Source organism: Homo sapiens, chromosome 5 (genome assembly GCF_000001405.40).
Source record: "Homo sapiens chromosome 5, GRCh38.p14 Primary Assembly".
NCBI classification, from domain to species: Eukaryota; Metazoa; Chordata; class Mammalia; order Primates; family Hominidae; genus Homo; species Homo sapiens.
Window position 1 is genome coordinate 37,088,254 of NC_000005.10, and position 22,756 is coordinate 37,111,009.

At 39.7% G+C, this 22,756-nt stretch overlaps 1 protein-coding gene across 48 annotated transcripts in view, besides 1 other annotated feature; it reads right to left on the reverse strand.

Moving 5' to 3' along the window:
- CPLANE1 (ciliogenesis and planar polarity effector complex subunit 1) overlaps window positions 1-22,756 on the reverse strand; it is a 173,708-nt gene that overhangs the window by 12,585 nt on the left and 138,367 nt on the right. For 41 of the 48 annotated variants that reach the window (XM_017009761.3, XM_011514090.4, XM_047417570.1 and 38 more), the window contains 2 exons: window positions 20,040-20,218; window positions 17,982-19,525 (listed from right to left, as the gene is read on the reverse strand). In XM_017009761.3, coding sequence (XP_016865250.1) covers window positions 19,349-19,525; window positions 20,040-20,218 — 356 coding nt within the window. In that variant the 3' untranslated portion in view covers window positions 17,982-19,348. Of the gene's footprint in view, window positions 1-17,981; window positions 19,526-20,039; window positions 20,219-22,756 lie in introns of those variants that run through there. The other 7 variants (XM_047417575.1, XM_047417572.1, XM_047417573.1 and 4 more) reach the window with 1 other exon arrangement.
- Window positions 5,422-6,001: an enhancer, noted in NCBI's record as "NANOG hESC enhancer chr5:37093777-37094356 (GRCh37/hg19 assembly coordinates)". NCBI's record gives its function as "activates a minimal SCP1, AML or CMV promoter by ChIP-STARR-seq in naive and primed H9 embryonic stem cells {active_cell/tissue: H9 hESC(naive and primed)}" and the evidence as "EXISTENCE:reporter gene assay evidence [ECO:0000049][PMID:30033119]".

Genomic DNA, 22,756 nt, shown 5'->3' on the forward strand with positions numbered 1-22,756 from the left:
CTGTCTTTTGAAAACGCTAATGTGCAGCAGGCAATGCAGGCAATCAAAGGAAAGGCAGCCACAGTTGGGGAGCTTCTATGAGCGTGTCAGCTGGTAGGAACTGAGACAAACAAAGCCAAAATATTGGCTATGGCATTAAGGCCTCCTAAAGTGAAAAGGGAGAGAAACCCAAATTGTTTTCTATGCGGAGATCCAGGTCATATGAAGAGGGAATGCTCCCATAGTAGAGACCAAGGTAATTCAGGGAAAGAACCCTCTTCTATATGTCCCCAATGTAGGAAGGGGAAACATTGGGCAAATCAGTGCATGTGTAAATTTGATAAAAACGCCAACCCCATAAAAAACCAGTCAGGCAACTTCAGTAGGAGCAAGCCCCAGGCCCCGCTCGCAACTGGGGCAATGCCAGCAGCTTTCCTCGATCAGATGGGAAGCCCACAGTCCTCTCTCTCAGAGCAGCCACCACAGGGAGCACAGGACTGGACTTACTCTGCCTCAACAAATTAATGCTAAAAGAAGGAGAAGACCCTAAAAGGGTTGCAACCGGGATCTGGGGCCTGCTGCCTCCAGGAACAGTGGGATTAGTCCTAGGGTGGTCTAGCCTATCTAGTAAAGGAATTAATGTGCTCACCGTGGTAATTGATAGTGATTATCACAGAGAGATATTGGTTATGATGGACTGTAAAGGTCTGCATATTCTTCCCCCTGGATCAAAGATAGCTCAGTTACTGATTTTATCATACTGGGTCCCCAGTCTCTATGGAAAGGAAAGGGGGAAGGGAAGTTTTGGGAGCACAGGAGCCACAGGAGTATATTGGAATCAATTAATCACTGATCAAGGACCCATGAAGAAATTGGAAATAAGAATTTTACTGGCTTACTGGGCACAGGGGCAGACATTTCAATCATTAGTGATCAAAACTGGCCAGAAACTTGGCTTTGGGTCAGTCAGAAACAGAAAATTGTCAGCATCATGGAAGCACACACAGCCAAGCAGAGCACACGCCCCCTAACATGCTATGATTCAGAAGGAAGAAAGGCAGTTATACAACCTCTAATCATGGCCATCCCTGTTCATCTTTGGGGATGGGACCTATTAGCCCAATGGGGGGTTACTCTGCAGACCCCTTTCAAACAATGGCCACTGTTATTATTCCTCCCCTACCCCTGATGTGGCTCTCTCAAGATCCGATTTGGGTAGAACAGTGGCCTCTGAAGGGAGAGAAATTACAGAGGGCCCATGAATTAGTTGAAGAGTAATTGAAAGCTGGGCATGTCGAATTATCTAACAGCCCTTGGAATTCACCCATTTTTGTCATTCCCAAAAAGTCTGGGAAATGAAGACTTTTGCATGACCTACGTGCTATTAATGCCAATTTGCAACCTATGGGACCACTTCAGCAGCAGCTCCCTTCCCCCACGGCGATTCCTCAAGATTAGCCTATAATCATTATTGACTTAAAAGATTGTTTTTATATGATTCCCCTAGCAGAACAGGACAGAGAAAAATTCATTTACAATATCAGCTATCAATAAAGAAAAGCCAGCTTGTCGAATTCATTGGAAAGTGCTTCCTCAAGGAATGCTAAATAGTCCTGCCATGTGTCAGTATCATGTAAATCAAGCCTTGCTCCCTAGTAGAAAATAATTTCCTGATTGCAAGATTATTCATTTTATGGATGATATTCTACTAGCAGCCCCAACGGAGCCAATACTTTTAAATTTATATTCCTCTGTCGTAAAGAAATACACAGCTAAGAGATTTAATCATTTACCTGAAAAAGTAAAAATGTCCTCTCCTTGGAAATATCTTGGGTACGTATTAACTTTCCAGTCAGTAAGACCTCAGAAGGTTAAATTAAAGACTAGCAACTAGCAACCGGTATTCTCCCAGATATTTAACCCCTGCAGCAAAAAGGGAAATTGAGGAAATAGAACAAGCCGTCTCTCAGGGGCAGCTAGATCGCATTGATCCACGTTATTCAATCCAATTGTTTTATCTTTCTCACCAAACACTCCCCTACAGGGTTAATAGGACAGATGGCCCCCGGGCTATGCTTCCTAGAATGGGTTTTTTGCCACATACCGGGACTAAAACACTATCTCCCTATAGTCAGTTACTTACTAAAGTCATCTATTCAGGCCACAAACAATGCAATCAGTCACTAGGTTATGACCCTGATGTCATCAGGATTCCTTTAAGTAAAAAGCAATTCAAAGCAGTATTGCCAGTATCTATTAATCTGCAAATAGCTTTCTCTGATTACACAGGACAAATAGAGCACATACTTCCTGCTGATAAACTCCTTTATTTCTTATCTCATACCCTGGTAATCTTACCCACAAAAATAGTTCACTCCCCCATACCTAATGCTTTAACACTGTTTACTGATGGTTCTGGTAAACATGGAAAAGCAGCAGTCTGGTAGAGACCACATAATTCAATCACTCGATCTGGGTTTACTAGCACTTAGAGAGCTGAGACTGGGGCCCTGATACTGGCCTTAGAAACTTTTTCCACTCAGCCCATAAATATTGTAAATGACTTGGCTTACACTGTTTATTTATTGCAGAACCCTCAAAACAGCCTTAATTAAGTCCGCTCTTGAGCCCACCCTGTGTGCTCTTTTTCTTTGATTTCAGCAATTCCTAGATCAATGTACACATCCTATTTTTATCACACACATTCCAGGCCACAGCTTTCTGCCTGGCCCATTGGCTTATGGCAACGAACAAGACCTACAAGTTATGACATCACTGCTTGACCAAGCCACCCAATTGCATCAATCTTTCCACCAAAATTGGAGAAATTTATCTAAACAATTTCAACTTACTCAGAGGCTGGCTAAACAAATTATCCCACAATGCCCAGATTGTCAGCTCCCTGGCCTCCTTCCACAGGTGTTAACCCTAGAGGATTAGAACCTCATCAGTTATGGCAAACAGATGTTACACACGTCCCTGAATTTGGAAAACTTAGATATGTACATGTATCCGTTGATACCAACACTCATCTAATTAGTGCACACACCCTTCCTAGAGAGTCCACTTGGTATATCATTAAACATCTTTTAACTTTTGCATTTATGGGGCAGCCCACAAAAATTAAAAAATTAAAAAATTAAAACTGAAAATGGTCCAGCTTATGCCAGCTCACAATTTCAACAATTTTGTCACAAGTGGAATATCCAACATTCCACAGGCATCCCATATAACCCCCAAGGACAAGCCATAGTAGAACGTGCCCACTCCACCCTTAAAAATATGCCCAGAAAACAGCCAGAAGAGGGGGAGTATGAGTAAAAACCCTCCAACACTATTGGCACAAGCCTTATTTACCCTTAATTTTCTAAATTTAGATGACGAATTTCAATCAGCTGTAGAAAAGCACTTTGCTAAAACCTCTCAAGACATAAAGCCTGCAGTTTTATGGAAAGATGTAAACAGTAATGAATGGTGTGATCCAAATGAATTGTTAATGTGGGGAAGAGGGTAGGCTTGTGTCCATACCCCCTCAGGTCCTCTTTGAATTCCAGCATGATGCATTAAACCATACCATGGTGTGGCTAGGATCCAACCTGGTACCGGAGATGAAGGAACTGACCCTACAGGATCCACAGCCCCAGACGATGAGGCTTCCATGGATGACACAAGCCCCGGACGTCACCTGGGGGATGCTGAAGAGGACAACTCAGGAGGCTGAATGAATTCTGCTCCAGACACAGACACCATTTACTTCAGATAATTTGTTCCTTGCTATGCTCTCTGTTGTACATTGCAACTCACATAGGGTATTGATCCTTTTTATGCTCTTGCTTTGTCTGCAAACTGTACCTGCTACACTCTACTGGCTCTTATCTTAGACCCGCCTTTCTTTCGCCCTGTCACCTGGGCAGACATCCCCTTCCCAGCCTATAATAACATAAGTGCTTGGCTAGGAGGGATAGATTTACCCCCAGTGGGGTCCCTCAGTAATGGCATACATTGGACTAAGGTGCCAGATAACACTACATATCACTCCACTATCTTCCCACTGTGTGTAAGTTATAAAGGTTCTAACACTTACTGTGTATCTGCCCAAACACAATTATGACCATATCATGGCAAAGAAAATGCCTTAACAGCCTTAGCTACAGGTAGCCTCAAACCAGGTAATGCAATCAATGCCACTTTCCCAAACATTCCTTCCTGTGCTAAAGGACAAAACTGGGAAAGTACTGGATTTTACTTTAGCTGGGAGGTCTGTCACAGGGGACAAGCCCATAGCCTCCAGTTAGGCAATTATAACATCTTAGACTGGAGTCCCCATGGCCATTTGCAGGGCAGCCTTACTAATGTCCTCCTCTGTCAAGGCATCAATCACAGTTTTGTAGCCATGTCCCATTCCCCTATGATTTGGGCCAATGGGGCGATGCAATATCCCAGACCCCAAGTAAATTCCATGCCACCTCAAGACACTTTATGGCACCTGGGACATCTTGGCACCTCCCTTGACACCTGGCATGGAACATATCATAATTCCGGTAACAACTATACTATAACCTTTATTCATACTGATCAGTTACGCTGATTAGTAACTGATTTGCACTACCCATCCATGTTTTCCTTATGGGAACCAATATTTCTATTTCACCCCAAAACTCCACATTTGTGACCCGGGTGCAGGGACAGACTTGGTTCACCTCATGTATCATTAATTACAATATATCTGATCTAAATATTACTAGTGTCATGGTACTAAGGAGATAATCTGAGGCATTCCTACCAGTCAATTTGACATGCGATTGGCAAGGATCCTCTGCCCTTGCCACCTTAGAGCGTACCCTGTCCCAGGTCAGACACAAAAGATTCATAGTTACATTTATGGCCTTTATAGTCTCAGCCATAGTCATCCTAGCAACTGCTAGCATTGCTGTGGCATCTATTACTGAGTCAGTATAAACAGCTGCCTTTGTAGATAATCTGGCCAAAAACGTGTCTAATGAACTTCTCTTATAGCAGGGTATAGATCAAAAAATTCTTGCACGTCTGCAAGCCCTTGAGGCTGCTTTAAAATATGTGGGGGAGCCACAAGATGCACTGGCATTCCAACAGCAATTAAGCTGCAACTGGGAGCATAAGCATATCTGTGTCACTTCTCTACCATGGAATCAATCAATGCATAGTTGGGATGAGGTGAAACAACACCTCTGGGGAATTTAACAGCAGACGTAAAGCAACTTAAAACTAAAATTTTAGAATCCCTTCACACTATAGATCTACACACCCAACAAACAGCCATATGGAAGGGTGTGCAAGATCATCTCTCCTGGTTAGACCCCCACTCCTGGGGGTCACTCTTTGACTAGCAGAGAATGTTGCTAATTATACTCATGATTGTCTTATGTTATTTACTAATTCTAGGATGCAAAGCCAGAATAAGAGCAATCACTGCCACTCCTGACAAACCTGTTGCTGCATACATCTGCACTCTCCAATCAATAAGACCCAATGCAGAAAACAGAAAAGGGAGAGATGTAGGGGTTCAGTCAGAATGGTGGGGAAAATTATAAAATAAAACACAAACCTTCTTGGAAGGCCAAAAGCTTTTTGCAAAAGCTTCAGGACAGAGTTATGGCTGAAGGCAGCCTAATCCTCTTTGAGCTATAGCAAGGGTAATTAACAGGAATGTAGAGTAGTTTATCTAAATAGCTTGTTTACTCATGTGGTTCTAAAACTAACCTTTGATCATTTGCGGGCAGGATAGCGCTGGGAGGGGTGGAGCGCTGGCAGTGGGGGGCAGGAGTGGAAGGAGACCAGGTTGATTACCCTCTAATGGTGTTTACTTGAGACTTCTGTCATTTAATGTGTACTGAATAAATGCCAGGAGGGCCAGAGAGTCAGGGCTGTGGCTGACAGCACTCTCCTTAGAGTCTGTAAGTGGCCCGGACCCTTGGCCAGATTGACAAGCATAATATCTGTGTCAGTGTACGTTATTCATCTGTCATTGAATCAGGGTCTGCAAGACAGGCCCCCACAGAAATCAACTCCAAAAGGAGTCTTCAAAACCACACAAATACATGGAAATTAACTTGCTCCTGAATGATCACTGGGTCAATGAAATCAAGACTGAAATTAAATAATTCTTTGAACTGAATGACAATAGTGACAAAACCTATCAAAACCTCTGGGATACAGCAAAGGCAGTGCTAAGAGGAAAGTTCATAGCCCTAAAGGACTACATCAGATAGTCTGAAAGAGCACAGATAGACAATCTAAGGCCTCACTTCAAGGAGCTAGAGAAACAAGAATAAAACAAACCCAAACCTAGCAGGGGAAAGGAAATAACCAAGGTCAAAGCAGAACTAAATGAAATTAAAACAAAAAACAACACAAATGATAAATGAAACAAAAACCTGGTTCATTGAAAAGATAAATAAAATTGACAGACCATAAGCAAGATTAACCAAGAAAAGAAGAGAGAAAATCCAAATAAACTCAAAAGAAATGAAACAGGAGATATTACAACTGATACCACAAAAATACAAAAGATCATTCAAGGCTACTATGAACACTTTTATGCACATAAACTAGAAAACCCAGAAGAGATGCATAAATTCCTGGAAAGATACAACCCTCCTACCTTAAATCAGGAAGAATTAGATACCCTGAACAGACCAATAATAAGCAGCAAGATTGAAATGGTAATTTAAAAATTATCAACAAAAAAAAGTCCAGGACCAGACGGATTCACAACAGAATTCTACCAAACATTCAAAGAAGAATTGGCACCAATCCTATTGACACTATTCCACAAGATAGACAAAGAAGGAACCCTCCTAAGTCTTTCTATGAAGCCAGTTATCACCCTAATACCAAAACCAAGAAAGGACATAACCAAAAAAGAAAACTACAGACCAATATCTCTGATGAATATAGATGCTAAAATCCTTAACAAAATACTAGCTAACAGAATCCAACAACATATCAAAAAGACAATCCACCTTGATCAAGTGGGTTTCATACCAGGGATGCAGAGGTGGTTTAATATATGCAAGTCAATAAATGTGATACACCACATATACAGAATTAAAAACAAAAATCACATAATCATCTCAACAGATGCAGGAAAAGCATTCGACAAAACCCAGCATCACTTTTTGATTAAAACTCTCAGCAAAATCGGCATACAAGGGACATACCTCAATGTAATAAAAGACATCTTTGACAAACCCACAGCCAACATAATACTGAATGGGGAAAAGTCGAAAGCATTCCCTCTGAAAAATGGAACAAGGATGCCCACTCTCACCACTCCTCTTCAACATAGTACTGGAAGACCTAGCCAGAGCAATCAGACAAGAGAAATAAATCAAGGGCATCCAAATCAGTAAAGAGGAAGTCAAACTGTCGCTGTTTGCTGATTATATAATTGTTTACCTAGAAAACCTTAACAATTCCTCCAGAAAGCTCCTAGAACTAATAAAATAATTCAGCAAAGTTTCTGGATACCAAATTAATGTGCACAAATCAGTAGTTCTGCTATACACCAACAGCAACCAAGCTGAGAAACAAATAAAAAACTCAACCCCTTTCACAATAGCTGCAAAAAATAAAATGCTTAGGAATATACCTAACCCAGGAGGTGAAAGACCTCTACAAGGGAAACTACAAAACAATGCTGAAGGAAATCATAGATGACATAAACAAATCGAAACACATCCCATGCTCATGGATGGATAGAATCAATATTGTAAAAATGACCATACTGCCAAAAGCAATTTAAAAATTCAGTGCAGTTCCCATCAAAATACCACAATCATTCTTCACAGAATTAGAAAAAACAATTCTAAAATTCATATGGAACCAAAAAAGAGCCCACATAGCCAAAGCAAGACTAAGCAAAATCAACAAACCTAGAGGCATCACATTACCTGATTTCAAACTATACTATAAGGCCATAGCCACCAAAACAGTGTGGTACTGGTATAAAAAAGAATAGAGAAACCAGAAGTAAACCGAAATACTTACAGCCAAGTGATCTTTGACAAAGCAAACGAAAACATAAAGGGGGAAAGGACACCCTTTTCAACAAATGGTGCTGGGATAATTGGCTAGTCACATGTAGGAAAATGAAAACTGGATTGTCATCTCTCACCTTATACAAAAATCAACTCAAGATGGATCAAGGACTTAAATATAAGACCTGAAACTATAAAAATTCTAGAAGATAACATTGGAAAACCCCTTCTAGAGATTGGCTTATGTAAGGATTTCATGACCAAGAACCTAAAAGCAAATACAATAAAAACAAAGATAAATAGCTGGGTCTTAATTAAACTGAAGAGCTTTTGCATGGCAAAAGGAAGAGTCAGCAGAGTAAACAGATAACCCACAGAGTGGGAGAAAAATCTTCACAATCTATACATCCGACAAAGAACTAATAGCCAGAATCTACAATGAACTCAAATCAGCAAGAAAAAAGCAAACAATCCCATCAAAAAGTGGGTTAAGGAAATGAATAGACAATTCTCAAAAGAAGATACACAAATGGCCAACAAACATATGAAAAAATGCTCAACATCACTAATGATCAGGGAAATGCAAATCAGAAGCACAATGCGATACCACCTTACTCCTGCAAGAATGGCCATAGTAAAAAAAAAGTCAAAAAACAATAGATGTTGGCGTGGATGCAGTGAACAGGGAACACTTCTACACTGCTGGTGGGAATATAAACTAGTACAGCCACTATGGAAAACAATGTGGAGAAAAAAAGAAAGAAACAAAGAAAGTCATTATATAACGATAAAGGGATCACTTAAGCATAAAAACACGGACAGGCATGGTGGCTCATGCCTATAATCTCAGCACTTTAAGAGGCAGAGATGGAAGAATCACTTGAGGCCAGGAGTTCGAGACCAGCCTGGTCAACATAGCAAGACCCCATCTCGTTTTTTTAAAAATTAAAAAACAAAACAAACAAAAAAAATAAATATATGTGCATTTCATCCAATTGCTGCAGAATACACATTCTTCTCATCAGCATATGGAATGTTCTCAGTCAAACAACAATAACAAAAAACCCCGAAAACAACAACCAAAAAAACCATGAAAAAGAACGCAAAGTCTACATGACACATGGGACATCATAAAGCAACCAAATATATGGATTTCAGTGCTCCAGAAGGTGAAGAGAAGATCAATGGCATAAGAAACCTATTTACCAAAATAATGACTGAAAACTTTCCAAGTATAGCAAGACATTTAGACATCCAGATACAGGAAGCTCAGACACCCACAAATAGATAACAACCCCAAAAGGTCTTCTGTCACATTATAGTCAAACTGTCAAAAGTTAAAGGCAGAGAGAAGTGCCTAGTCACATACAAGGGACGTCTCATCAGAGTAACAAAGGATTTCTCACCAGAAACTTTACAGGCCAGGAGAGAATGGGATGATATATTCAAAGTGCTGAGAGGAAAATAAAACAAAAACCTGCCTAACAAGAATTCTATACCCAGCCAAGGAATCTTTCATAAATAAAAGAGAAATAAAGTCTCTCCCAAACAAAAATGGAGAGGATTCATTTCAGGAATGAGTCCTCACATCTCATAATAACATCTCAATAATAACCCTACCTGTGAATGGATTAAATGTCCTACTTAAAAGATAAGACAGCAAACAACAACAGTAAAAAGACAATGAAAATCATAATATAATGACAAAGCAATTAATTCATCAACAGAATATTGCATTTCTAAATATATATGCACCCAACACTGAAGCACCCAGATATATAAAGCAAACATTACTAGATCTAAAGGAAGAGACAGACTCCAATACAGTCATATTTGGGTACTTTAAAACCTACTCACAGCAGGCCAGGCATGGTGGCTCACGCCTGTAATCCCAGCACTTTGGGAGGCCGAGGCGGGTGGATCACAAGATCAGGAGTTCGAGACCAGCCTGGCCAAGATGGTGAAACCCCATCTCTACTAAAAATACAAAAAGTACCTGGGCATGGTGGCAGGCACCTGTAATCCCAGCTACTTGGGAGGCTGAGGCAGGGAATCACATGAACCTGGGAGGCGGAGGTTGCAGTGAGCCGATATCATGCCACCGTACTCCAGCCTGGGTGACAGAGCAAAACTCCGTCTCAAAAAAAAAAAAAAAAAAAAAAAAACCACACACATACACCTACTCACAGCATTAGATAGCTCATCTAGCCAGAAAATCAACATAGAAACATTGGAATTAAATTTCACTTTAGACCAAATGGACCTAACAGACATTTACAGACCACTCCATCTAACAGCTACAGAGTATATATTCTTCTCATCAGCACACAGAATATTATCATTAGCACACAGGATATTTTCCAGGATAGGCCATATGTTAGGCCACAAAATAAGTCTCAATAAATTCAAATAAATCAAAATAATATCAAGTAACTTTTCTGAACACAATGGAATAAAACAGACATTAATAACAAGAGAAACTTTGGAAATGGTACAAATAAATGGAAATTAAACAACATGCTCCTGAAAAAAAAACAAGTCAATGCAGAAATTAAGAAGGAAATTAAGAAATTTATTGCAACACACAGAAATGAAAACACAATGTACCACAACCTATGGAACACAGCAAAAGCAGTGCTAACAGGGAAATATATAGCAGTAAATGCCTACATCAAAAAAAAAAAAAAAAAAAAAGAGAAAGACTTCAAATAAACAACCTAACAATGAACCTTAAGGAACTAAAAAATGCAAGAACAAAACAAACACAAAATAAGTAGAAGGAAAGACATTATAAAGATCAAAGCAGAATTAAACAAAATAGACTTAAAAAAATACAAAGGATCAACAAAATGAAGTTGCTTTTTTTACAAAAATCTTTTGTTCTTCAACTTTTAAGTTCTGGGGTACACGTGCAGGATGTGCAGGTTTGTTACATAGGTAAATGTGTGCTGTGGTGGTTTGCTGCACAGATCATCCCATCACCTAGATATTAAGCCCAGCATCCATTAGTTATTCTTCCTGATGCTTTCTTTCTCCCTACCCTCCTGACAGGCCCCAGTGCGTGTTGTTCCCCCACACCCCGCCGCAATGTGTCCATGTGTTCTCATCATTCAGCTCCTACTTATAAGTGAGAACATGCAGTGTTTGGTTTTCTGTTCCTGTGTTAGTTTACTGATGATTATGGCTCCCAGCTTCATCCATGTTCCTGCAAAGGACATGATCTCGTTACTTTTTATGGCTGCATAGTATTCCATGGTGTATATGTACTACATTTTCTCTATCCAGTCTATCATTGATGGGCATTTGGGTTGATTCCAGTTTTTGTTATCGTGAACAGTGCTGCAATGAACATATGCATGCATTATCTTTATAACAGAATGATTTATATTTCTTTGGGTAAATAACCAGTAATGGGATTACTGGGCCCAATGGTATTTCTACCTCTATCTCTTTGAGGAATCACACCACACTGTCTTCCACAATGGCTGAACTAATTTACACTTCCACCAACAGTATAAAGGCATTCCTTTTTCTCCACAACCTCACCAGCACCTGTTGTTTCTTGACATCTTAATTATCTCATTGTGGTTTTAATTTGCATTTCTCTAATGATCAGTGATGTTGAGCTTTTTTTACATGTTTGCTTGGCTGCATGTGTGTCTCCTTCTGAGAAGCATTTGTTCATGTCATTTGCCCAGCTTTTAATGGGGTTTTTTTTCTTGTAAATTTGTTTAAGTTTCTTGTAGACTCTGGATATTAGACCTTTGTCAGACGGATAGAGTACAAAAATTTTCTCCCATTCTGTAGGTTGTCTGTTCACTCTGATGATAGTTTCTTTTGCTGTGCAGAAGCTATTTAGTTCAATTAGATCCCATTCGTCAACTTTTGCTTTTGTTGCTGTGCTTTAGCATTTTCATTGTGAAATCTTTGCCAGTGCTGATGTTCTGAATGGTACTGCCTAGATTTTCTTCTAGGGTTTTTATAGTTTTGGGTTTTATATTTAAATCTTTAATCCATCTTGAGTTAATTTTTGTATAAGGTATAAGGAAGGGGTCCAGTTTCAACTTTCTGCATATGACTAGCCAGTTCTCCTAGCACCATTTATTAAAAAGGGAATCTTTTCCCCTTTGCTTGCTTTTGTCAGGTTTGTCGAAGATCAGATGGTTATAGCTATGTGGTCTTATTTTTGAGTTCTCTATTCTGTTCCATTGGTCTATGTGTCTGTTTCTGTCCAAGTACCATGCTGTTTTGGTTACTGTAGCTTTGTAGTATACTTTGAAGTCAGGTAGCATGATGCCTCAAGCTTTGTTCTTTTTGTTTAGAATTATCTTGGCTATTTGGGCTTTTTGTTCTTGTTGTTCCATATGAATTTTAAAATAGTTTCTTCTAATTCTGTGAAGAATGTCAATGGTAGTTTAAGGGGAACAGCATTGAATCTATAAATTACTTTGGGCAGTATGGCTACTTCCATGATATTGATTCCTCCTATCCATGAGCATGGAATGTTTTTCCATTTGCTTGTGTCCTCTCTGATTTCTTTGAGCAGTGCTTTGTGGTTCATCTTGAAGAAGTCATTTCCCTTGTTAGCTGTGTTCCTAGGTATTTTATTCTCTTTGTAGCAATTGAGAATCAGAGTTCATTCATAATTTGGTTGTCTGCTTGTCTGTCGTTGGTGAAAAGGAATGTCAGCGATTTTTGCACATTAATTTTGTATCCTGAAACTGTGCTCAAGTTGCTTATCAGCTTAAGAAGCTTTTGGGCTGAGACAATGGGGTTTTCTAGATATAGGATCACACCACCTGCAAACAAAGATAATTTAACTTCCTCTCTTCCTATTTGAATATGCTTTTTCTTTCTCTTGCCTGATTTCCCTGGCCAGAATTTCCAATACTATGTTGAATATGAGCGGTGAGAAGGCATCCTTGTCTTGTGCCAGTTTTCAAGGGAAATGCTTCCAGCTTTTGCCCATTCAGTATGATACTGGCTGTGAGTTTGTCATATATGGCTCTTATCATTTAGAGGTATGTTCCTTCAATACCTAGTTTATTGAGAGTTTTTAACATAAAGGATGTTGAATTTTATCAAAGGCCTTTTCTGTGTCAAGATAATCATGTGGTTTGTCTTTCATTCTGTTTATGTGATGAATTACATTTATTGATTTGCATATGTTGAATCAATGGTGCATCCCAGGGAGGAAGCCGACTTGATCATGGTGGATAAACTTTTTGATGTGCTGCTGGATTTGGTTTGCCAGTATTAATGTTATTGAGAATTTTTGTATCAATGTTCATCAGGGATATTGGCCTGAAGTTTTCTTTTTTTGTCATATCTCTGCCAGGTTTTGGAATTAGGATGATGCTGGCCTTATAAAATGAGGGAGGAGTCGCTCCTTTTCAATTGCTTGAAATAGTTTCAGTAAAAATGGTACCAGCTCTTCTTTGTACCTCTGATACAATTCAGCTATAAATCCGTCTGGTCCTGGGCTTATTTTGGTTGGGAGGCTATTTGTAAGTGACTCAATTTCAGAAATTGTTCTTGATCTATTCAGGAATTCAATTTCTTCCTGGTTCAGTCTTGGGAGGGTGTATATGTCCAGGAATTTATCTATTTCTTCCAGATTTTCTAGTTTATGTGCATAGAGGTGTTTATAGTATTCTCTGATGGTTGGTTGTATTTCTGTGGGGTCAGTGGTGATATCCCCCTTATCATTTCTGATTGTATCTGGTTCTTCTCTCTTTTCTTCTTTATTAGTCTAGCTAGCAGTCAATTAATTTTTTCAAAAAAAAAAACAACTCCTGGATTAATTTTTTGAAGGGTTTTTTCATGTCTGTATTTCCTTCAGTTCTGCTCTGATCTTGGTTATTTCTTGTCTCCTGCTAGCTTTGGGATTTGTTTGCTCTTGGTTCTCTAGTTTTTTGCTGTTGTTGTTTGTTTTGTTTTTTGTTTTTTTGTTTTGAGATGGAGTCTCGCTCTGTTGCCCAGGCTGGAGTGTAGTGGTGCGATCTTGGTTCACTGCACCCTCCATCTCGCAGGTTCAAGCAATTCTCCTGCCTCAGACTCTCAAGTAGCTAGGATTACAGGCTTGCACCATCATGACCGGCTAATTTTTGTATTTTTAGTAGAGGCAGGATCTCACCATGTTAGCCAGGCTGGTCTCAAACTCCTGAGCTGAAGCACTCCACCCACCTCGGCCTCCCAAAGTGCTGGGATCACAGGCATGAGCCACCATGCCTGGCCTCTAGTTTAGTTGTGATGTTAAGTTGTTGATTTGAGACCTTTTTGTTGTGGGGATTTAGTGCTATAAATTTCCCCATTAACACTGCTTTACCTGTGTCCCAGAGATTCTGGTACATTGTCTCTTTGTTCTCATTAATTTCAAATAACTTCTTGACATCTGCCTTAATTTCATTATTTACTCAGGAGTCATTCAGGAGCAGGTTGTTCAATTTCCATGTAGTTGTGTGGTTTTGAGTGAGTTTCTTAATCTTGAGTTCTAACTTGATTGTGCTGTGGTCTGAGCAGTTTGATTTCAGTTCTTTTGCATTTGCTGAGGGGTGTTTTACTTCCAATTATGTGATCAATTTTAGAGTGCCATGTGATGAGAAGAATGTATATTCTGTTGTTTTGGGATGGAGAGTTCTGTAGATATCTATCAGGTCCACTTGATCCAGAGCTGAGTTCAGGTCCTGAATATCTTTGTTAATTTTCTGTCTTGATGATCTAATATTGTCAGTGGGGTGTTAAAGTGTCCAGTATTACTGTGTGGGAATCTAAGTCTCTTTGAAGGTCTCTAAGAACTTGCTTTATGAATCTGAGTGCTCCTATATTGGGTGTATTTATATTTAGGATAGTTAGCTCTTGTTGAATTGAATCCTTTACCATTATGTAATGGCCTTCTTTTTTTATCTTTGTTGGTTTAAAGTCTGTTTTGTCAGAAACCAGGATTGTGACCCCAGCTTTTTTCTGTTTTCCATTTTTCCTCCCTCCCTTTATTTTGAGCCTATGTGTGTCTTTGGATGTGAGATGTGTCTCTTGAAGACAGAACATTAATGGGGCTTGACTCTATCCAGCTTGCCATTTTATGTATTTTAATTGTGGCATTAAGTCCATTTACATTTAAGGTTAATACTGTTATGTGTGAATCTGATCCTGTCATCATGATGCTAACTGGTTATTTTGCAGACTTGTTTTATGTGGTTGCTTCATAGTGTCACTGGTCTGTATACTTCGGTGTGCTTTTGTAGTGGCTGGTAATGGTTTTTCCTTTCCACATCAGGTACTTCCTTCAGGAGCTCTTGCAAGGCAGGCTTGGTGGAGATGTATTCCCTCAGCATTTGCTTGTCTGAAAAGGAGCTTATTTCTCTTTCATTTATGAAGCTTAGTTTGGCCGGATATGAAATTCTGGGTTGTTAATTCTTTTCTTTAAGAATGTTGAATATTTGCCACCAATCTCATTTGGCTTGTTGGGTTTCCACTGAGAGATATGATGTTAGTCTGATGGGCTTACTTTTTTTAGGTGACCTGGCCTCTCTGGCTGCCCTTAACACTTTTTCTTTCATTTTGACCTTGGCAAATGTGATGATGGTGTGTTTTGGGGTTTTCTTGTAAAGTATCTCGAGAACTGGGGTTCTCAGGATTTCCTGAATTTGAATTTTGGCCTGTCTTGCTAGGTTGGGGAAGTTCTCTTGGATGATATCCTGAAGAATGTTTTCCAACTTGATTCTGTTCTCCCCATCTCTTTCAGGTACCCCAATCAGTCATAGGATGTCTTTTTACATAATCCCGTATTTCTTGGAGGTTTTGTTAGTTCCTTTTCATTCTCTTTTCTTTATTTTTGTCTGCATGTTTTATTTCAGAAAGATAGTCTTCAAGCTCTGAGATTCTTTTCTCCACTTGGCCTATTCTGTTATTGATACTTGTGATTGCACAGTGAATTTCTTGTGTTGAGTTTTTCAGCTCTATCAGGTCAGTTTTCTTCTTCCCTAAACTGGTTATTCTGGCTATCAGCTCCTGTAGTTTTATCATGGTTCTTAGATTCTTTGCACTGGGTTCTAACTATGCTCCAGGATAGGCGTGGTGGCTCATGCCTGTAATCCCAGCACTTTGGGAGGTCTAAGTGGGCAGATCACCTGAGGTCAGGAGTTAAGAGACCAGCCTGGCCAACAAGGTGAAACCCCATCTCTACTAAAAATACAGAAAAGTAGCCGGGCATGATGGCACGTGCCTTTAGTCCCAGCTACTCAGGAGGCTGAGACACAAGAATTGCTTGAACCTTGGAGGAAGAGGTTGTAGTGAGCCGAGATTGCACCACTGCACTCCAGCCTGGGTGACAGAGTGAAACTCTGTCTAAAAAATAATAATACACCATAATTCAGCCGGGCATGGTGGCTCATGCCTGTAATCCCAGCACTTTGGGAGGCCCAGGCAGGCAGATCACCTGAGGTCAGGAGTTCAAGGCCAGCCTGGCCAACATTGTGAAACCCCATCTCTACTTAAAAAAAAAAACACACACACACACAAAAATTAGCTGAGCATGGTGGCAGGCGCCTGTAGTCCCAGCTACTCAGGAGGCTGAAGCAGAAGAATCACTTAAACCCAGGAAGCGGAGGTTGCAGTGAGCCAAGATTGTGCCATTGCACTCCAGCCTGGGTGACAAAAGTGAAATTCCATCTCTCCATGTGTTATTAGTACACAGTTACAAAAACAAAAACAGCACTGAACTGGTATAAAAACACAGACCAATAGAATAGAATAAAGAAGCTATCAATAGGTTGGGTGCAGTGGCCCATCCCTCTAATCCAAGCATTTTGGGAGGCCAAGGCGGGAGGATCACTGGAGCTCAGGAGTTCGAGATGAGCCTGGGCAACATGAAACACTGTCTCTATGAAAACTACAAAAAATTAGCCAGGCATGGTGGTGCGCACCTGGAGTCCCAGCTACTTGGGTAGTCGAGGTGGGAGGATCGCTTGAGCCTGGTAGGTCAAGGCTGCAGTGAGCCAACATCACACCACTGCATTCCAGCCTGGAGAACAAAGTGAGATCCTGTCTCAAAACAAAGACAAAAACAAAAACAAAAACAAAACAAAAAACAAAACAAAAAACTATCAATAAATCCATGCATTTACAGCCAGCCCATTTTTGGTAAAGCTATCAAGAACATACAATGGGGAAAGGATACTCTCCTGTTCAATAAATGCTGCCAAGAAAACTAGATGTCTATTGCAGAAGAATGAAACTACACCTGTATAAATCACATATAAAAACCAAAATAGATTAGACTTAAATATGAGACCTGAAACTATGAAACTACTTGAAAGAAACATTTGGGAAACATTTCAGGACACTGGTCTAGGCAGAGATTTTTTCTGAGTAAAACCTCAAAAGCACAGGCAATGAAAGCAAAAATTGACAAATAGAATTACATCAAGCTGAAAAGCTTCTGCACAGCAAAGAAAACCATCAACAAAGTGAAAAGACAACCTAAAGAATGGGAGAAAATATTTGCAAGCTACCCATCCAGCAAAGGATTAATAACCGCAATATATAAAGAACTCAAACAACTTAGTAACAAAAAAGAATCCTACTACAAAATGGACAAAATATCTGAATGGACATTTCTCAAAAGATGACATACGAATGGCCAACAGGTATATGAAAAAATGCTCAATATTACTAATCATCAGAAAAAAGGAAGTCAATACCATAATGAGGTATCGCTGCACCCCAGTTAAAATGACTAATAGTCATTTTATTTATTTATTGCTGGAATAGTCATTTCCAGCAAAAGATGGAAAATAAATGCTTGTGGGCATACAGATAAAGGGGAATGCTCATACACCCTTGGTGGGAATGCAAATTAGTATAGCAGCTATGGAAAACAGTATGGAGGTTCCTCAAATAATTAAAAATAGAACTACCATATGATCTAGCAATCCCATAGCTGGGTATATATACAAAAGAAAGAAAATCAGTATATCAAAGAGATATCTGCACTCCTACATTTATTGCAGCTCTATTCACAACAGCTAAGATATAGAATTGATATAAGTATCCAACAATGGATAAATAGCTAGAAGAAAAGGTTTGAATGTTTCCAACACAAATAAATGATAAATGTTTGAGGTGATGAATATCCCAATTACCCTGATTTGATTGCTACACATTGTATGCACATATCAAAATATCACATGCACCCCATAAAAATGTACAACTATCATGTATCAATAAAATACCCATAGAATATACAAAAAAGAAACTAACAGAAAACAATTTAAAATATTTTAAATGACAAAACAATTAAATGACAATTAACAATAATGTTAGCCTATAAAGCTATTTTCTAAAACAATTTGGTAAGGAGAGTAGCATTGTTTTATAGTTCTACAAATCTCTTTAATGTTTAGCTTGATAGAAGGCAGCTGAATTACCATACCTGCTTCTGCATTCAACTTGCTGCAATACATGTTGTAAAACCTGGCTTCACACAGGTAGATATTTGGAAAAAGAGGGGTATTTAATAGCTTTTTCAGATGATAGTGTGCTTTTATATTATACCAAACATTGATGAAGTAGTTGAAGGATACTGGTTCTTAGTCAATTCTCATAAAAATTATCTCTTAAAACTATGACATTATTGGAGCACAATACCAAAAACTAATCAGGTCTCTGTACCATGGTTCTTACAAATTTAAGATGAGCCTTCTAGAGGCCGGAGTCATATTCCCTTACTTTCCTGCCCAAAGCATCCATTCCTGTTTCTTCCTCCAAGGCTTCAGGCTACAGGGCAGAAGACAGAAGATCTCCTGGCCTCCATGAAACTTTGCTTATTTAGAGATTCAGGGTTGGTAAAAGGTAGTTGGTTTTTCTTTTCACTCCTAGGCTAAACCCTGCATAGGTGTTTTAAAATAGGGTTCATAATTGAGTTCTCAGGTGAGACTGATTTTCTTCTCAATGAAAAGATTTTTTTTTTTCCTATTAGATTCATCTGTATATGGTTGTTTCTCAAAACTCAGAGGGTAATAAAGGAGGAGGCAAGATAGAGGGTTTTTATTGAAAGTAGGTTATGCAAACTTGGCTTGAAAGGTACTTATCATTTTAAAAATTATGCCTAATGATGCATCAAATACAAAAACATATAATACATCAATAGTCAACCCTTTCCCCATAAAGGCAAAGTTACTGAGAAATGTTTATTTTTCCTCTGGTAATGGCTAATCCAGGTAATAATATGAAAGCAAATGGAAAATTCACATTGCTTCTTTCATTGCTTCTGTCCCTTAAACCTGTTAATCTTTCAGAACCACATTACTGAGGTGCTGGCCTGTGCATGGAAACCCAATGATATCCAGGTCTTACAGGTCCAGGGCCCAGTGGACAGACAGGCCCTGGTCCTCCACGCTGGCCACCATGTCTTCGATGGCATTCCAGTCCAGCTTGCTGAGGATGCTGCCAGTGCTCTCAGACACGCTGTCCACACCGCCCACCCCAAAAGGATGCTCTGGCTCTTCCTCTTCAGTTGGAGACAAGTCCTATTAAATTGAAAAGACAATTGTGGTCCTAGCCCCTAAAAACAAACAAAAAAACAAAAACAAAAAAACCTGGAACGTGAACTAAGCTTTCCAAAAATTCTAGAGTTGCTCATCCATCAAAAGGCTGAAGGAAATGTGCCAGGAAATAGGGCTGTGATTGCCCAGCACATCCAGATGGACAAGAGCTGAACATCATCTCACACAACGAGATGCTGGCACCAGATGTGAAGACAGGGCAGAACGGATGTTGATACTTGTAGTACGATTTTATGTTCTTACATTTTGGTCATTTTTTAGTTAAAAAATACAGTCACAGAGAAGTCTGAAAGACAAATGCTGAAGTACTAAGCCAAAAGGGAAGATGCTTTGCATCACGATTTCAAACTGACCTAACAACTTTTCAGTATTTCCACATCCCACAAAAAACAAACTAAAAAACAAACAAACAAACAAACAAAAAACCTGAAGAACATAGAGCAATCACTAGACAAACAAAATCTAGAACAATGCTTACTTGTAGAAGGGAATTGTGACTCTCATGAAGAATCTTATGGATTTCTGAAGGTATCGTCCAGGGACTCACCACAGTCTCCTCTCTTTCATACTCTACACACACCTGCTTGGTTTGAGGTGCAAGCCCAGCACTTCCATGTTTTTTTGTATGCTGCAGACTATGACACGGAGCATTAGAGCCTTTTAAGGGATAAGAACAAAGCACACATTGGGATTGATTCATTCATTCATTCATTCATTTGTTAATTGTGACTTTTATCATCAAAGCCAAGGTAGTCACATTTTAAATAATATTTGAATCACAAGGTCTGGAAATGGTTCACTTTAGAGTTCGAACAATTCCTGTCCTGTCACTGTACGAGATGGAAACTGAATTCCAGCCTTTGGATTTGAAAACTATTAGTAATTAATCTTTAAGACAAGAAAATCTAGGGAGGAGAGGCCACAGATATAACAGAACGGTGGAGAGGTATTGACACCAAAGTTGGGTGAACTCTGAGACCTGGGCCTTCCCTGTCTTTTACAGAAAGTCTTGTGAAAACTTCTTAGAAGCAATGTTTTGGGCATCTTCACCCAGGCTTAATGCTTACAATCTGCCTTTAGGCAAAGGCATCACAGTGAGTGTGGTGACAATACATTATGACCCTCTTTCTTCTTACTGCATATATCAGTATTTGTTGAAAAGAAATTTTCATTCCAGCTAATGCCCAGAGGCAGCTTAGTAAACCCACAAACCAATAAGGTTTCTCTGCACAAAGCCCTAGAGGAGCCTACCTCACCTAACACAATGTTCCAAAGCCAATATCACAGCATGTTCTACCCTTCGAGGTGATTTCATGAAGAAACACCCAAGACATGGGACAAGATGGGAAGTAAATATAGATCCCAAACAAGCAGTCATGTGGCTCCCTGAAGAGGGGAGAAGAGGTATGACAATGCTGAAGTTTGGGCCCTCTTTGTCTTTTGTAACTCTACCAACCTTATGTACTTGAAGCTGAAGATATCTCCAAGAAATAAAGCCCCCAAAATAATCACAGCACACACTTTGGCATTTAGTATAGGCTAATAAGCACTTTTACATTCAGTCCCTTGAACTTACCAGACATTCATGCCTGGTCTTTAGATTTTCTAACACACCTCTGCTCTCCCTAGCTAACTTCATTTAGTTCCATGGCTTTAAATATCACCTACATGCTGACAGCTCTCTAAAACCTGTACCTCCAGTCTCATAAAGCTAATTGCCCCTTCTTAAAATCCTTGCTTGGATGTGCAATAAACATCTGAACTTTAACATGTCCAAAACCACACTGTTAATTTTTACCCCTAAACTGCCCTATCCCAGGAAATGCTCAGGTTAAAATCCAGTATATCTTTTTTGTTTTTTGAGACGGAATCTCACTCTGTCCCCAGGCTGGAATGCAGTGGTGCAATTTCGGTTCGCTGCAACCTCTGCCTCCCGGATTCAAGCGAGTCTCCTGCCTCAGCCTCCCAAGTAGCTGGGATTACAGGCATGCGCCACCATGCCCAGCTAATTTTGGTATTTTTAGTAGAGATGGGGTTTCACCATATTGGCCAGGCTGGTTTGGAACTCCTGGCCTCAAGCGATCGGCCTGCCTCAGCCTCACAAAGTGCTGGGATTACAGGAGTGAGCCACTGTGCCCAGCCTCATCCTTCTTTCTTATACATGCCACATCCAATCCATCAGCAAGTCCTAATTTTGTCTATCTTCAAAATACATCCCAAATCAAATAGTTTCCTCCCATCTCCATTGTTAAAACCCTAGCCCAAGCAATCTATCCTTGTATGCCGTCTTCTGTTCTTTCTTTCCACATGTTCTAAAACATAAATTATATTATCTCTCTGCTTAATTCCCTAAAATGGAGTCTCACTGGATCTCAAGTAAAATCCAAACTCCTTGCCTTAGCCTACAGTATCTAGCCCATCTCTCCCACCATATCTCTCGTCACCTTTCCACACTGATCTTTTCTGTCATACCAACTTTGTTTCTGTACCAGGACTCTGAACTTTCTGTTCTGCCTTATCTTTATACAACAATCTTACCAGAACTTTGAACTTCTGCCTGAAACTGTTTTGCCTTATCTTTACCTAACAATCTCCTTTTCATCATTCAAGATCTTCACTCCAACATCACCTTCTCTTTTTCTAAATTTTTATTCATTTAATTTTTAATTTGCTTCATACTAAGAGCTGGAGTAAGAGTTTCACCTTCTCAAAGAGACCTTTAACCACCCTTGCTAGAGTAGTTCCACCTAGCCAGCCTCATTCTCCCTTATTTATGTGCTGCTTTCTGTGTTGTTCATGAGTAACAGTGCCTGGTATGTAGTAGGAACTCAATGGGCAGTTGCTGAGTGAATACTCTTCCTGACAGTCCTATGGAGAAACCATTATTATCCCCATTTTGCAAATGAGGAAAGTGAGGCTTAGAGAGGTTATGTAATTGGCCCAAGATGATGGAGATGATCCACCCCAGAACCTGGGCTAATGTATTAACTTTTTTTTTTTTTTTTTTTTTTGAGATGGAGTCTCACTCTGTCGCCCAGGCTGGAGTGCAGTGGCACTATCTTGGCTCACTACAACCTCTGCCTCCCGGGTTCACGCCATTCTTCTGCCTCAGCCTCCCGAGTAGCTGGGACTACGGGCACCCGCCACCACACCCGGCTAATTTTTTGTATTTTTAGTAGAGATGGGGTTTCACCG